The following is a 15,993-nucleotide window of genomic DNA, read 5'->3' as shown; positions in this document are numbered from 1 at the left end:
GGCTCACTGACTTGTGAAAGTTTCTGAGCCAAAGTGAGGTTGTTTACATATCTGTGAAATCTGTATATTAATATGGATTTCATAATAATGGGTAAAATATTATTTTACACAAGTCTGAATATTGCTGATATACGTAAGCAGTATGTAAATATTTATTGCATTTGGCCATGTTTAAGGCTGTCATTGCTCAAGTAAAGCAAGAATGTAATTTGTTAAGAGAAAAAATGGGAGAAATCACATGAGGAAATATAATTCTACTTGTAGAATGCTTTATAAAATAAAAAACCAATAAATTATCATGTCAAATCAACCTGAGTGTAAAATACAAAGTTGATCCTTGTGACATCATTCAGTTTTCTGTATTTGGAATATTTCATGTGAATTTTTCTGAGAATTTGTAAAGAACTATATGATAATTTATTGTATACTGAAAATTTTTCATTGGACAAGCTCAGAGTGCTTTAGAACATAATGCTAATGCTCTTATAAGATCTTAAACCTTGAATCAAAACAAATTATGTTGTATTGATTAGTATATCAGTTTGTCTGTTAGAGAGATACCTAAAGTAAAAGTGGCCTAAATTAGACAGAAGTTGATTCCTCTCTAGGAACATTCTGGATACACTGGCTAATACAGCAACTCCCTGTCTTTCCAGCCCTCAAGGTTCTTCTCCCCATTCTCTGCTTTCCTCAGTGTAGCTCTTCCATGTTGTGCTCCAAGATCGGTGTTCCAATATCCATGATTCTTTTTGCGTTCTAGATTAGAGGAGAGAGGCAAGTGACAATGGGAGACATGCCCTTTGCCTTTAGGGGCATGTCTCAGAGTTTGCATACATCACTTCTATGTGTGCCCATTGTCCACAACTTAGTGACCAGCCTTGCCTTGTTGCAAGAGGATATGGAGTACTTTTCCTCCCAACCCTTGACCCATGTGTACATACCCAACTAACATGTAGAGTTACATTACTAAAGAGAGAAGGGATAGTAATTGAGAGATCATTAATTAGCAGTTTCTGCACATATCTTCAATTTGTTCTTCTTGACATATTAAAGTTAGTGCAAACACTCTACTCATTCATCTGAGTGACTATTATCTTTTAAATATAATCAAACCCTTTGGGGGAGATAATTTTTCTATAGTAAAATGAATATAAAATTGGGTGCTGTACTGAGTTTTTTCTAATATCTCCTAATGCATTTTGATAACTAATGATCAAATTGTTTTCTGCAATAGAAATATTTACTATATTACAGTGAAAGTCAAGAACTGTAAATACATGTTGTACTTTGATATTCTAGTTAACAAGTTTCAGTATTTACATTTTTTTTAAAAAAAGATTGTTACTTATCTCATGAAGTTAGACTCCTATGGATGATGAAATTTACTCACCCTCACCAAAAGTTTTGCAGTACAGGGTGGATTTAATTGGATCTTTTGTTTACAACTTTATATATGCGTTGGCTGGTATTTTATATATCAGGTGTTCACAAATCATATCATCACATTGTTTTTGTTTGAATTTGGCTACTATCACTGTTCTTTGCTCTCACTTTTATACATGCTAGTTTAGCTATGTATTTTTATTGTTCAAATTCTACAATGTCATATTCTTCATTAAAAATTTGTCATTTGAGATTATAAAATGTAACTTTACAATCTCATACGTCTACATCAACTAATAAAACAGTGGGGCTAATTGGCATACTAACTGCTGGGATAACATTATTAATAAATTTAGTCCTCAGTATGTTTCAATGGGGATTAATATCCGAGGGCTGTTGAAAGAAATTATGGATAAATTAAATTTACCCGAGTTTATTTGTATAAAGAATGATTCATGAATCAGGCAGTACTCAAAATTAGGACAGAGCCCCACCCAGCAACATGGCCAGGCAGTATTTATAGACAGACAAAGGAAGTGATGTGTAGAAACAGCTTGATTGGTTATAGCTGGACATTTACCTTACTTGGGCATGGTGATAGCTGGGCATTTACCTTACTTGGGCATATGTAGCATTTGCCTTCTGTGGACATAATCTGATCAGTGGGCAGCCTGTGATTGGCTGAAACTCAGCTGCTATGATTAGCTGAGACTCAGTTATTAGTTACAAGAATATACTTTTAAAGTAGGTTGCAGTTTGTTAACATACTAAGTTAGGCTGCAGTTTACTGTAAAGAAATTCAAAATACAAATGTAACCTTAGGACAAATTTAGTTTATAAGAGCTGGCCGGCGCGGTGGCTCATGCCTGTAATCCCAGCACTTTGGGAGGCTGAGGCAGGCAGATCACGAGGTCAAGAGATCGAGACCATCCTGGCTAACACAGTGAAACCCTGTCTCTACTAAAAAATATTTTTTTAAAATTTAGCCAGGCATGATGGCGGGCGCCTGTAGTCTCAGCTACTTGGGAGGCTGAGGCAGGAGAGTAGCGTGAACCCGGGAGGTGGAGCTTGCAGTGAGCCGAGATTGTGCCACTGCACTCCAGCCTGGGCAACAGAGCGAGACTCTGTCTCAAAAAAAAAAAAAAAAAAAAAAAGACAAAAACAACAACAAAAAAAACAAGCACTAAATAAAGTTTCTATTTTAAATATTATACCTCCTGGGTATAACTAAAAGATTATAAATCCTGAGGCTCTGGTTATTTTAACTTTTTCACCAGTTCTGCTGGAGATGATTTGTTTTCCAACTCCTAAGACTAGTAGATTAGTGATCATTTCCAGGATTTCCTAGTACTCATATCAATCATTTCCTTTCACTGCTCTAATACAATCATCTAAGTTTAGACATTGGTCTCAAATATGTTCTTAAGAGCTATTGAAATTATCTCATTTTATGATTATAAATTTTAAATGCATTTAATTATGATACATTATTATATAAATTTATAAACATTATATTCATATATCTTTTTCCATTGTCAAGATCTTTGTCACTTATTACTGACTCTTTTTTTGATGTTTAATACCGTGCAGAAACTTTACCAGTAACTTCCCTAAGCGGAACATATAATGTTTGGCAGTGAAATGAAAGTTTCTCCTTCTTGAAGGCACAGCCAATCTTTGTGAATTATTATCTTAGGGTCCCTCAAGAGTATAAGTTCCCAGAGAGCAGCTCTTATGCACTTATAGCAGCTGATGTAACTCTTACAATATCGAGTACACATTGTAATCACTCAAACTTTCTTTCCCAATAAATCTAAGTTCATATTAAAGCTTCATTTCACACAACTGTAAAAGGAATGTTCTGAAGTATAGTTTAAGAACACGTCATAGTTATATTCTAGAATTACTTCCCCATACTTTAATTTTTAGAGAGATCCTTTCCCTACTATCCCAACCTTAGTCCAGACTTGTGTAGGTCTCTATAATCTAGAGGATTGGCAATGAAATACATACCTTGAAGAAAACGCTTGCCCTATTGTTGACCAGTGGCAGGACCAAATGTTTTATATCATTAGCACTTCTGTAGTTACAAATATGACAGCACCAAGGACAAACACTTGGGGAAGAAAGACTACTTCCCAGTCTTGAGACTAGATAGGCCTTTCTTCATTTAAGACTAATAAAGTAAAATCCAGTCAATGGAGAAATCCATGAGATACTCAGTAACAGTAAAGTAAGTATTAAAGACACAGAGGAAAATTCTTCTCTAAGATAGTATTACTTCAGATATGTCAGGCAGAAAAACAACATTGAATATATGCTTACTGTCCCCAAAGAAAGAGTCAATGATCTATAAAAAGTAGACTAAAACCATCAAAATGAAAACCACTGAAACAAAATTCTCAATGGAGAAACTAACAAATTTGACAATGTGAATTGTTTATCAATAATCCTCAGAATAAGTTTGAGAAGTACTCTTCAAATGCCAGAAAAGTAAAAAATGTGGGAACAAAGTTAATAAATATGAAGGTCAGAATTCATAGGTGTATTCATAAGTCCTGTCTTCCCAGAGATCAAGTCAAAGCACATGTATCAGATATAATCATCAAGGATTTAATGGAAGGAAACATTCAGGTCTGCCAAGAAATCTGTATATAATTGTAGATTTGGAAGGCCTGCAGTGTTTCAGACAAAGATTTTTAAAAGTCAAGAACATTTATACCAAAAACTTGCTCAAGGATATTCAAGAGGAGATTTCTAGTAGGCAGCTAAGTATTTAGTTTGGTTGCTTAGGAGAGTGGCCTAGAATAGAGTTTTATGTTTAGCTTATGAGGGGAATTTGAAAACAAGTGGCTGAAATTTCCTGAGCAAGTGTGAAGTTACATATATAGTAAGGCCAGATTCATCTACAGATAAATTTTGGCATGCTTACACAAAGCTAAAAACAAAATGAATTTGAATACCTTTGGATATAACATATTCTGCAGCCTGCTGTAATGCCACTACTCCTTATTGTCTACTTTCAGCCTGCTTCACACATCTACACAACATTAAAAAAAATACCTTAAGACAATACAAGATAGACTCCTCAGAACACCAGCATTCAGGGGAACGTGGGGGCAGGGGAGGGGAGTATGGGATATGAGTAGAGATGAAGTAGTAGCAGCCTTCATAATAGAAGTAAATCATACAAAGAAGGTCATGAGATTAGTACATGTTGGCATCAGGACAAAATTTGGAATTTCCTGATTTCTACTGTTCTTTCGTGTTTATTAGGCTGGTGTAGCACCAGGATCATGTTTGTGTAGAAAGAAGGATACATTCGAGTGTAATCTATTGATTTTGTTCATTATAATGATGATGCATGGCCTCCAAGGTAAAACAAGTATTTAAAGTTGATCAATGCTTCCTTTAGAGTGAAAGCTTTCTATTAGCTGCATCCGAATTAGTCAGTTTGTGGGAAAGTTTATGCTCTTCAAGGACTCTGGTATAAGACAATTCCTCAAGGGCATTTTATAGTTATCTACGTTCCTCCACTTAGAGCAATGCTATTTATATTCACCTTGTGGCTATAAAATAAATACAGCCAGGTTTAGCTAAAGCAGTGGCTGAAATTAAGTATAGAATTAATGTCTCCTTACGATTGTATAATATAAAAATTATGGCTTTAGTCATTTAAACAGATTTTCCTCTTGAAACTTAAAAACACAGGTAGCGGCCAGGCGTTGTGGTGCACACCTGTAATCCCAGCACTTCAGGAGGCTGAGGCAGGCAGAACACTTGAGCCCAGGAGTTTAAGACCAGCCTGGGCAATATGGTGACACCCTGTCTCTACAAAAAAAAAAAAAACTAAAATTAGCTGGGCATGGTGGGGTGCACCTGTAGTCCCAGCTACTTGGGAGGCTGAGGTGGGAAGATTGCTTGAGCCCAGTAGGTCGGGGCTGCAGTGAGCTGATATTGTGCCACTGCACTCCAGCCAGGGTGACAGTGAGACCCTGTCTCAAAAACAAACAAAAAACCTCAGAAAACAAAACAAACTATGCAGGTATAACTGGGATAAATTATTGGATGAGCCGTGATTCTCATGGAAGGATAGAAGGCACATATGGCCTTACTGGATATGTAAGAAAATCTTTGCTGTGTCCAGTTAACTTATCCTAGATAATATTAACATGACTAATCATGCTAATTACCTGATCATGATACCATACAATTCCTCCAATCAAGTGCTTTACTTAAAAACCCAATTTAAATAATAACTCTCTTTAAACCTTCCTTGTTTTTTTGTAGGTAGCAAATGGTAGTCCTTCCTATGAGCGTTCTAAGCAACTTGTAATGCATTTTTGGCTTTAATGGTATAATACCTTATACAATAGAATATGTGTACAGGGTTTGATCTTCTCTACTAAAGTTTTAGTGATTTGAGGTAGAAATAATATTTAGTTTATTTTATAGTATACAGTAATTGCTGAAATAATGCTTGTTAAATTTGTATACCCATATTTTCATAGTGTTTGTGAAGATGTGTTCACCTTTTAAAGTGGTGCTATATTGTAAGCGTGGTGGAAATGAAAATGTTAATTTTGCTTCAAGGTTAGTGGAAGCAAAATGAAGAGAGGAAATAATAAAGCTAGCTTTTACTATGGATGATATTTGAATTAATGTTTAAGATAGACATTTGCTTCCTTAATTTCATCTAATGGGATTGGATGCAGATGAGAGTGGCAGTGGACAGTGTTGTCTCATCTTCTCTGTTTTGTCCCTGGGGACAGCCATCAGGACTAAGAGGAGAGTTAAAACAGACAATGTAGTTTCCCTAGGTCCAAAATTAATTGAAATTGGAGAATAAGCAGTGCAGTTAGAATATTTGTCTGTAATTACTACAAGTGATGTAAGTATCAAGATATTTGGTTTCAAGTGTGAATATTTGTGAAACATGAACTCAGGCGTATTATATTCTTCCATCAGAACCAAGTTCTTTTAACAAAACACCAGGGGTTCAGTCTATGTCCCATTGCTTGATGCACAGAAAGCCAGCCCCTGAGACAAAGAATATTGCCAGGGAAGAAAGCTTTATTTGGGTGTTGCAGCTGAGGAGATGGGAGATAAGTCTCAAATCTGTCTACTCAACTGACTAAAATTGGAGGTTTATATAGCATGAAAGGAATGTAGCTATATGCAGGAAAAACAGGAATTAGGAGAGGGTCTGGTGTCTCATTGTCTGAATGTGGTGATTTGGTGAGTTTCAGTTCCTTGGAGGCCTGATGGTTGGTTTCCTGAGAAAGGAATTCAGAGAAGATAAATACAAGTTTCAAGCTTTAAGACCAGCTGGGTCAATTTTTGTGTTTATTCGAAAACACTGCAGACATTAATTCTTTGAGGAAATTGGGCGGATTTCACTTTCTTATTCTACATATAGTATTAATAAAAAAAAGTTGAGTTTTATTTCCAAAGAGCCTACATCATTCAAATGAGCATAATGTTTCAATGTAAGATTATTTTTATCAGGAAAAAGATTTTAAATATACAGAAGAGAGAAATAGTATAATGAATCATGTCATCTGTTGCTTAAGTCTTTTAAGATAGAGACAATGTTTTATTTCCAAATACTTCTACATGAAACTCTATTTTTGTTTCTTCTAAATAACAAGGCATACATGTACAATTGCTGTATGCCTTGTTATACAGTAGAGGCAATAGAGTGTGATAATTGAGATTATATACTGGAGTGCTAGCTAGATTCAAATCTTAGCTCTGCCATTTCTGGGTGATATTGGCAAGATCACATAATCTCTCTGCTTTTTAGTTATTTGGTCTTTAAAATGGAGGTGATAGTAATAGCAACCTCAGTTATTATAAAGATTAGATTAACACATATAAAACATACAGACCATTTCCTGGATCATAGAGGGCAGTCTAGAAATGTTAATGAATGTAATTGTGAAAAACATTAATTATTAATATCATTACAACTTAAGTGGAAGTGATCTTAGCATCAAATGGAGCGTGTTTGTGTATCTGAATGTGTTAATAATGAAAGGGCATTATATTGAGATATTTTTCATTTTATTGTCATGAATTTAATCTTTGTATGAAAACCTTAAGATAATGCATGCACAAAATACAAAGCAAAGTTAAATGCTCAAAACACATTTTAAAAATGCAAACACAAACGGGGAAGATTGTTTTCATATCATTATAGGTTTCATATGTTCAATTTTATTTTTTAATTTTAGAGACAGGGTCTCACTATGTTGTTCAGACTGGCCTCAAACTCCTGCCTCAAGGTATCCTCCCACCTCGGCCTCCTGAGTAGCTGGCACTACGGGCACTTGCCATCATTTCTGGCTCTGTTTATTCAGATTTTAAAGAAAAAGTAGATGTTAAAATAAACTGAGGGGAAAAAAAAGCTAGCAATGTAACAATTATCTATGAAAACCCAAATTCAAGTTATCATTAGTTTTGAAATTTATTTGGATTCCTAGTTTAGGTTTCAAAAGACATCTGACCCAATAAGTCATTAAATTCCCTGAAGATTAGTGAAGCAAATTCCTCAGAAGACTTCAGTTGTGCCAGCAAACTGTGCTATTTTCTTAATTCCCAGAGTAAGCAAAAAGAAAGCAGATCATTACAAAGCCTTATTAACCCAATTCCAAGATCTGTCTAAAATTCAAATGAAGTAAGTTCAACCTAGAATTCCCATGTCATTAAATTGAGTTGATTTATTTGCTCCTTTTTATTTTATTGATCATGTTCAAAATTTCTCCTGTCTGGGACATTTGGCTAGTCTGCTGAATTCCCTTGCATATTTACGTTGCTATTTATTTTCCTCTTAGCAGCAGAGTCTTGTCTACATTAAAATTAATTCCAACATAATCTCCTATCTAAATGTCTTTTTCAGTGCCCAATCTTTAATGATTATATTTTACTTTATAGCAATAAATAAACCTGGTTCTAGAATAAGCTAGTAGGGATATGCATCAAACAGCAATGAAATCTAATTATTAAAGAAAAAGGAAAAATCTAGGTTTCTTTTCTAGCATTTTTTTTTTAAAAAGCTGTCTTATAGTATGTAACTTTTATTTTACACTTTTAGGTATCAAACATTGATGAAGTCTAATTATTGAAGAAAGAATCAGAGTCTAGGTGTTACCGGTGGAGGGTGTCCAGGTCCTTGGCATTTTGAAGAAAGAACTGGATAAAATGCAGAAAGCAATGAAAGAAAAACACAGATTTATTGAAACAAAAGTACACTCCACAGAGTAGGAGCGGGCTTGAGCAAGTGGATCAAGAGCTCCAGTTATAGAATTTTCTGGAGTTTAAATACACTCTAGAGGTTTCATGTTGCTTACTTGGTTTACACTCTGTGTAAATGAAGTAGAGGCCCACAACCATTCTGATTGGTTGCAGAAAGTGACCAATCAGAGGCTGAAAGTGAAGTTACAGAAGAAGATTTGGCCTGCAGTCAGTCTGATTGGCTGCTGAAGGGGACCAATTAGATGCTGAAGTGAAGTTACAAAGTTACACTCCTATGCAAATAAAGACTGTGACCAGTCTGATTGGTTGTGGGAGGGGACCAATCAGAGGTACTTTCCATTTTGCCTCTGCCCTGGGAAGAGGGTGGAGGGTTTTGCAAAGGAAGTAGTCTGTGATCCTTTTGTTACTTGGGTGTGGAAAGTTGAGTTTTCCTTTTGATTTAGTTCTAGAAAATCAGTATGAATTGGCCTTAGGTTCCCTGCCTCTAAACCCTATTCTCCTGCCTCATAGGTTTCTTTTCTAACATTTAAAAAATTACCTTACAGTTTGCAATCTTTATTTCAATTTTTGATGTTGGCCAATATTGAATCCTTGAATAGGATGGCATACAGGTAGAATATTAATTGCTTTGTATCCATAATTGCTTTGGTTCTTTTTGCTTCTAAAATAAATGGTTTAAATATTTTTGATGTGATACGTTTGGATTGGGTAATAATAGCTAGCATATATTATATATACATATATATACTGATTGTATGATATATGCTTATATACATATGCTTATTCTCTACTAAGTGGTAGCATTTAAAGCATACTACCTAGTCTATTTACTACCTAGTATAGAATAAGTATGTATAATATATACTAGCTATTACTATAACTTTATGTATCATTTACAATTCACGAGAACCCTTTGTGGCACATATATTATTTTATTTTTCAGGCAAAACAAGTAAAATTTAATGAGCTTAAGCTGCTTGTCCAGTGCTACACATTTTGGATTTGTCAGAGTAGGGAAGTGAATGCAGTGCAGTCTGTATGATCCAGAGCTGGAACACTGTGTCACCATGCTGTGCTGCCTGGGCAGTGGGCACCTATGAGGAAGAAGAGGGCCTGTGAAGGAGCTGCTGTAAATTGAGACTTAAGGGTAAAATTTTGGAGACAGTTTTGATTTAAAATTTGAATTTATTACATCTATCCATTATTCTCTCCGTATTTAATTTTGATGCATTTGGCTTATATTTCATCCAACTAATTTTATCATTGACAGTTGTGAGGTTACAGTGTTCTTGCAGTAGGCAAAATAAAACGTGGGTGATGTATAAGCTTGTTAAACTTTGAGTCCTAAGTTTCTGCTGATCTGATCCAGTATTCCCAGTGATGTTTACCATGAATATCTTAAAATTAATGTGTGCATCTCTGTATGGAATGTAGCCATCTCAGGAATCACTGGGGGGAGAAACTATAAAACCAATAAAAAGGTAGACTAGACTCAGTGTCTTCTAAGAATTCTGCCTTATGTTTTTGGGGCTGCTTTCCAAAATTTTTCAAGCCTGTCCTGATATATTTTTAATGCTTTACACACTTGGGCACATGCTCCTTTTGCAAAGATGGTTTAAACATGGGTTCCCAGTCGTCCTGGATTAGTGGCATTTATGGTGGGAACCTGGAGTCCTACTGTGTGATCTCTTAAATTAGATCTTAGTTGTATGACTTTAGCCAGTCTTTGCCTCAGGTATCAAGAGAATATCATTGATCTTCGTACCTTTCAAGGTGGTAGGTTGTTTTAAACCTCATTTGCCCTGGCAATATTTTGAAAAGTATATTTGTGTATCATAATATAAAAAATTCTTTTAATTTTTTAGAAGTAGAATGACTTCATTTAAAACATTTCCTTTTATAATATAATGCATGCTACTACATGGTTTCCATGGGGAGTGCTATGTTGAACTTTCAGACTCTGTAAAAATCACATAGTGCCTTTTACAATCCTTGAGCAGAAGATAAATATCACTCTCTTCCCAAAATATAGGTTACATATTTAGATATAATGTGTAGATATGGGTATACTTTTGTAGCACTGTATTACATCCCTTTCTGATGCTGGATATTTGAAAACTTCATACTACATATGGAATTTAAATCAGCCTCCAACTCTTTTCCATCATACTCAACTGTATTGTATTGCTAATGGCTCGCCTTACTCCCTGCTAGGTCTTGTGATAGGCAATTCATGGGCATTCATGCAAACTAAATTTATTCATCATGCAAACTAAAATTACATCAGTTTTATTTCAAGGATGTCCTCAGGTTCTGTATTTCAGATCTTTTGAATGCATCATTATAATCCTCATCAGCGACTTTAATCTTATTTGAAGAATGTCAATTTTGTCTTTTAAATTTAATAAACAAGTTATTGCAGGGATCAGTATTGCATTTTAACTTAATTTAGTTCTAATTTATCTTTCACTGTCATTTGGAAAATTTATATATTCTTTGTTTTAATATTCCCTACAGTGTTTTTTAACTTTCTTTTTGTTACTGCTCAATTTCAGCTGCTTTGTGATTTCACTTTTCCCCAAAATCTACATATCTCAGACTGTTTCTTCTCTTTTATACATCATAATTATTAGTAGAATAATACATGAAGACTTTACACTGAATCTAATCTTTAAAAACTAGAATTGTTTCTTCACCTTTCTTTCGCCACTGATGTTATAAATTTACTTTTCATGTTAATTTTAAAACTTTCTTTTCTTAGTATGTTAAATAAATTGCTTCTGAAGAATCAATGCTACAGTTTTTCCAGAGTAAATCTAAGGAGTTACAATATTTTTATTACCTGAAGAATGGGCATAATCTTCTGAATCCATAAAATAATTTGTTCTTCATCAAATATATTACCTAAGCTCATATGTTTTTTTGCAAGAACAATATTTCTATTCATTAAATACATAATTTCAAAATTTTATTTTTTGTTATGATTCAGTAAAAGTACAAATATTATGTGTAAGTCCTTAAGTGCATATTCAGTGTCATCCAACTCATACACTTTCTAAATCTATTCATCTACCAAATACTTCTCTAAGTCATAGGAGAAAATAGCAGCTTAAATCAATGAAATCAGAAGGCTCAGTTATGTTCTTATTGTCATTGTACTAGATTCATCATTTAATATTCAACCTGGCCTTCCAACTTGACTTAGAACAACTGACTGGATGAAAGTTCCACACCTCTTTCTATTCATTCTTTATTTGGGCATCATCACCTGCAATTCTGTTGAGTCTTCATTCTCATTGATCCAAGAGATTTACCAAAAATGAAGCTTTTCAAGATGGGCGTGGTGGCTCACACCTGTAATCTCAGCAACTCAGGAGGCTGAGGCAGGAGGATTATTTGAGGCCAGGAGTTTGAGACCAGCCTGGACAGCATAGCAAGACACTGGCTCTGAACAATAGAAATTAAAAAACCTAGGTGGGTATGATGGAATGCACCTGTAGTCCCAGCAGCTCTGGAGGCTGAGGTAGGTAGGAGGTTGGCAACTCAAGGGTGTAGTGAGCCATGATTGTGCCACTGTACTCCAGGCTGGGGAAGAGAGCAAGATCCTGATTCAAAACAAAACAAACAAACAAACAAAAAATCACAAGGCTTTTCCTCTGTGTGAGTCAGACCTGGTAACAATCTTTAATTAGCAGAGCAGCACAGGATGCTTAAATTCCAATGCTGAACTAGCCATAACAGAGTAATGTAATACTGTATATTAAAAAGTAATGTTTAAAGTAATGTTTAAACATTCTTTTTTTTTTTTTTTTTTGAGATAGAGTCTCGCTCTGTCACCCAGACTGGAGTGCAGTGGTGCAATCTTGGTTCACTGCAACCTCTGCCTCCCAGGTTCAAGTGATTCTCCTGCCTCAGCCTCCCGAGTAGCTGGGACTACAGGCATGTGCCACCACACTCGGCTAATTTTTGTATTATTAGTACAGACAGGTTTTCACCATGTTGACCAGGCTGGTCTCAAACTCCTGACCTCGTGATCCACCTGCCTTGGCCTCCCAAAGTGCCAGAATTACAAGTGTGAGCCACCATGCCTGGCCTAAACTTTACTTTTTAATCCATAGTGTTGATCCAGTATCCCAGTATGCCAGAATATTCAGACTTGATGCCTGTATGAAAGTCCACCTTAAATATAACACATCCTATCTTTGATAATGCTTTACATTGGACCGTGATGCCATGCCTTAAGGCATATTACATATCCAAAATTGATATTGAGGATAGTAATCGAGACTTTAAAAAATTCTAAAATCAGTAATATCTGTATTGTAAAAGCTGCAAGCCCTAATGTAAATAACAACTGTACAAAAACTACAAAAAACCAGGATGTATTTAGAGATTGAAATTTGAAAATATACGTACATACATACATATTGGAGAATTGCATGCAAGGCTTGTTTCATCACACAGGATCCTACACACATGCACACACACACACAGACACACGTGCGTGCGTGCACAGTCTCATTCTGTCACCCAGGCTAGAGTGGAGTAGCATAATTATAGCTCATTGCAGCCTCAAACTCCTGGGCTCAAGGCCCTCATGTCTCAGCCTCCTGAATAGCTGGAAATAATAGGAACATACCACGATGCCAGGCTCATTTTTAAATTTTTTGTAGAGATGAGGGCCTCACTATGTTGTCCAGGATGTTCTTGAACTCCTGGCCTGAAGTGATTGTCCAGCCTGGGCCTCCCAAAGTGCTGGGATTACAGGCATGAGCCACTGGACCTAGCCAAGACTGTTGATCTAACTCCTTTACTAGTGAGATAGAAATACAAATTGTGATACTTCCATAGAGAGTTTTAGTGAGCCATTTTATTCTATATCAACTAATTATTTTACAACTTTGTGGCACACAAAAATAATACAGAACTGGGGACATAAACGTAGCCATAGTATGATTGCAAGCAAAGTTTATCAGTTTGCAAATCTGAATTGTGCAAAATAGTTAAGTAAATTTCCATTGCAATTTAGGTAAAATATATAGACTTTAATTTTTGAATATTTTGCTATAAGTAGGAATATTTTTTAAGTTAACATGAAAAAGAACAAAATATTAAAAATCAATGCTTTTTATAAATATCAGTTCTAAGGGTGAGACAAATATGTTAAATTTGCAAGAGCTTTTTGTACCTGTCAAAGAATTATCATTATGACTTTCCAAATTAAATTTGCTAATATGCACTGGTTGTAAAATTGAATGACCTCCTCATCCAACATTAGCTTGTATCTCTGTCTCTGAGTGATCTAATCTATTATTTAATAGCTGAAATTATATTGAGAAGAATAGTCTGAGAATTATGCATTTCATGTGTCAGTTTCGTTTTATCAAATGCATTTGAATATATTTCAGAATCCACTTGCTCATTTTCTCTGTACACATTTGTATATGGTGGTCTGTAGACTTCAGAAGATATATTTTGAAAAGAAAACACTGGAAGGAGACATAGATGTTCTTTCTTGTATGTGTTCTGAAGAACTGGAATTCTTTGTTTCAGAGGGAGAATTTATTTGAAATAGTTAATTACTACATGAGACATTCTGTGTTAAGTAGCCTTTTTCATAAAAGTCAGGTCCTTTGTATATAATATTTACTGTATTTCAATTAAAAATATACTGCCATAATATATAAAGATAAGTAAAGACATGGAGTATGATGGTATAAGGAACAGTAGTTTCCAGTAGCTTAAAGATAATAAATGAGTTCAATTGAGAAATTCTCATCTTTTTATGAAGTTATTTTAATTTATATAAACTAGAAAAGGAGAACCATGGAAATAGCACTATTATTCTTTTTTAAAATATGTTTAACAATTGTACCTTAAGGAGTCTTGATACATGATTTTACAAGTTGAGAAGTACGTTATTATTTTAAAGTTATTTCTAAAAGCCATTTATATGGTTATTTAAAAGAGCAAGAGCCTCCATAAGATGAATTTAAAACTGCTAATTGTTAAGTGTGAGAGGATTCAGAGGAAACAGAAGTAATTTTTATGTAAGACAAGCTTTATAATATTAATAGAAAAGACTTAAACCTTAATAGTTTATTCTTATCACAAATATAATATATTCTCATTGTATTATTGGAAAAACCAGAAAGCACAAGTTATTTCTTAAAATTGCAAAGCCAGGAATAATACTGGTAACACTTGCTATGTATACATCCATTCATTTCTCCCTCTACCTGTTTCTACCCAAAACAAATAGGATTTTTTCTCTTTTCACTTTTACTTAACTCGTAATTTTTAAACTTCATATCATTTAAAAACAAATACAGTTAGGGTAGAGTTAAAACCTGTTTTGACTGAACAAAAAAAGTTTAACACAAATATCAAAAAATGTTATAGATGCATTTTGGATAAATGAATGAAATTCTTAGTTTGTTACCAGGGGAAGGCAACCAGGTAATTCAGTATCAAAAGTATAGTTCCAATAGATAGAAAATTAATCTTTGACTTGAGACTCCTGAGGGGTTTTCTTGAATCATTATTGATTGGATCTTCATTCCTGCCTCAAGAGTCAAATTGGTTGAAATTAGGATTTAATTGTATTTAGAGTTAGAATAGATCGCTTCTTTCCTAGCATACTTTCTTTTTTAAAACAAAAATTGATATACCTGAAAAACATGCAAAAAGCAAGAGGATGAGATTTAAATAATCCTTCATTGCCATATTATTTCTGTCACGTGTACCATTATTTGTCAAAGAATCATCTTCAACTGCACAATATAAATTTAGTTAAATAAATTGTGAAATTTATTTCAAGTGGATAATATTAGTTAGGTTGTATTTAAAGGCACCTCTCTAGTTTCTTATTATTTTATTTGTCTGTTTGTTTGTTTGTTTATTTATTTGAGGCAGGGTCTCACTTTGTTGCCCAGGCTAGAGTGTGGTGATGTGATCATGGCTCACTGCAGCCTTAACCTCCCATGCACAAGCGATCTTTTGACCTAAAGCCTCCTGTGACTACAGGCCTGTGCTGCCATGTCCAGCTAATTTTCTGTTATTTGTCATAGAGACAAGGGTTTGCCGTGTTGCCTGGGCTAGTCTAGAACTCCTGGGCTCAAGTGATCTGCCCCCCTCTTCCTCCCAAAGTGCTGGGATTACAGGCGTGAGCCACTGGGCCTGGCCTATCCAATTCTTTAAGTTTACATCTTAATAAGTATTATATGTGTGGAAGTCTGGTCTCCCTCGTCCCCCAAAGATGATCCTGAATGACTCCAACATTGAGGAAATCAGGAGAGTGGTTAGTTATAATGTGAATAATACAATAAAGATATACTGTGAGTGCTAATACCT

At 34.8% G+C, this 15,993-nt stretch overlaps 1 protein-coding gene across 16 annotated transcripts in view; it reads left to right on the top strand.

Moving 5' to 3' along the window:
* The window catches only part of CACNA2D1 (calcium voltage-gated channel auxiliary subunit alpha2delta 1), a 497,513-nt gene that overhangs the window by 310,628 nt on the left and 170,892 nt on the right, over positions 1 to 15,993 (top strand). The window lies entirely within an intron of this gene.

The sequence above is a fragment of the Homo sapiens genome, chromosome 7 (assembly GCF_000001405.40).
Source record: "Homo sapiens chromosome 7, GRCh38.p14 Primary Assembly".
Taxonomy (NCBI): domain Eukaryota; kingdom Metazoa; phylum Chordata; class Mammalia; order Primates; family Hominidae; genus Homo; species Homo sapiens.
Note: the sequence above shows the minus strand (reverse complement) of the source record. Positions and strands in the feature narration are given on the sequence as shown.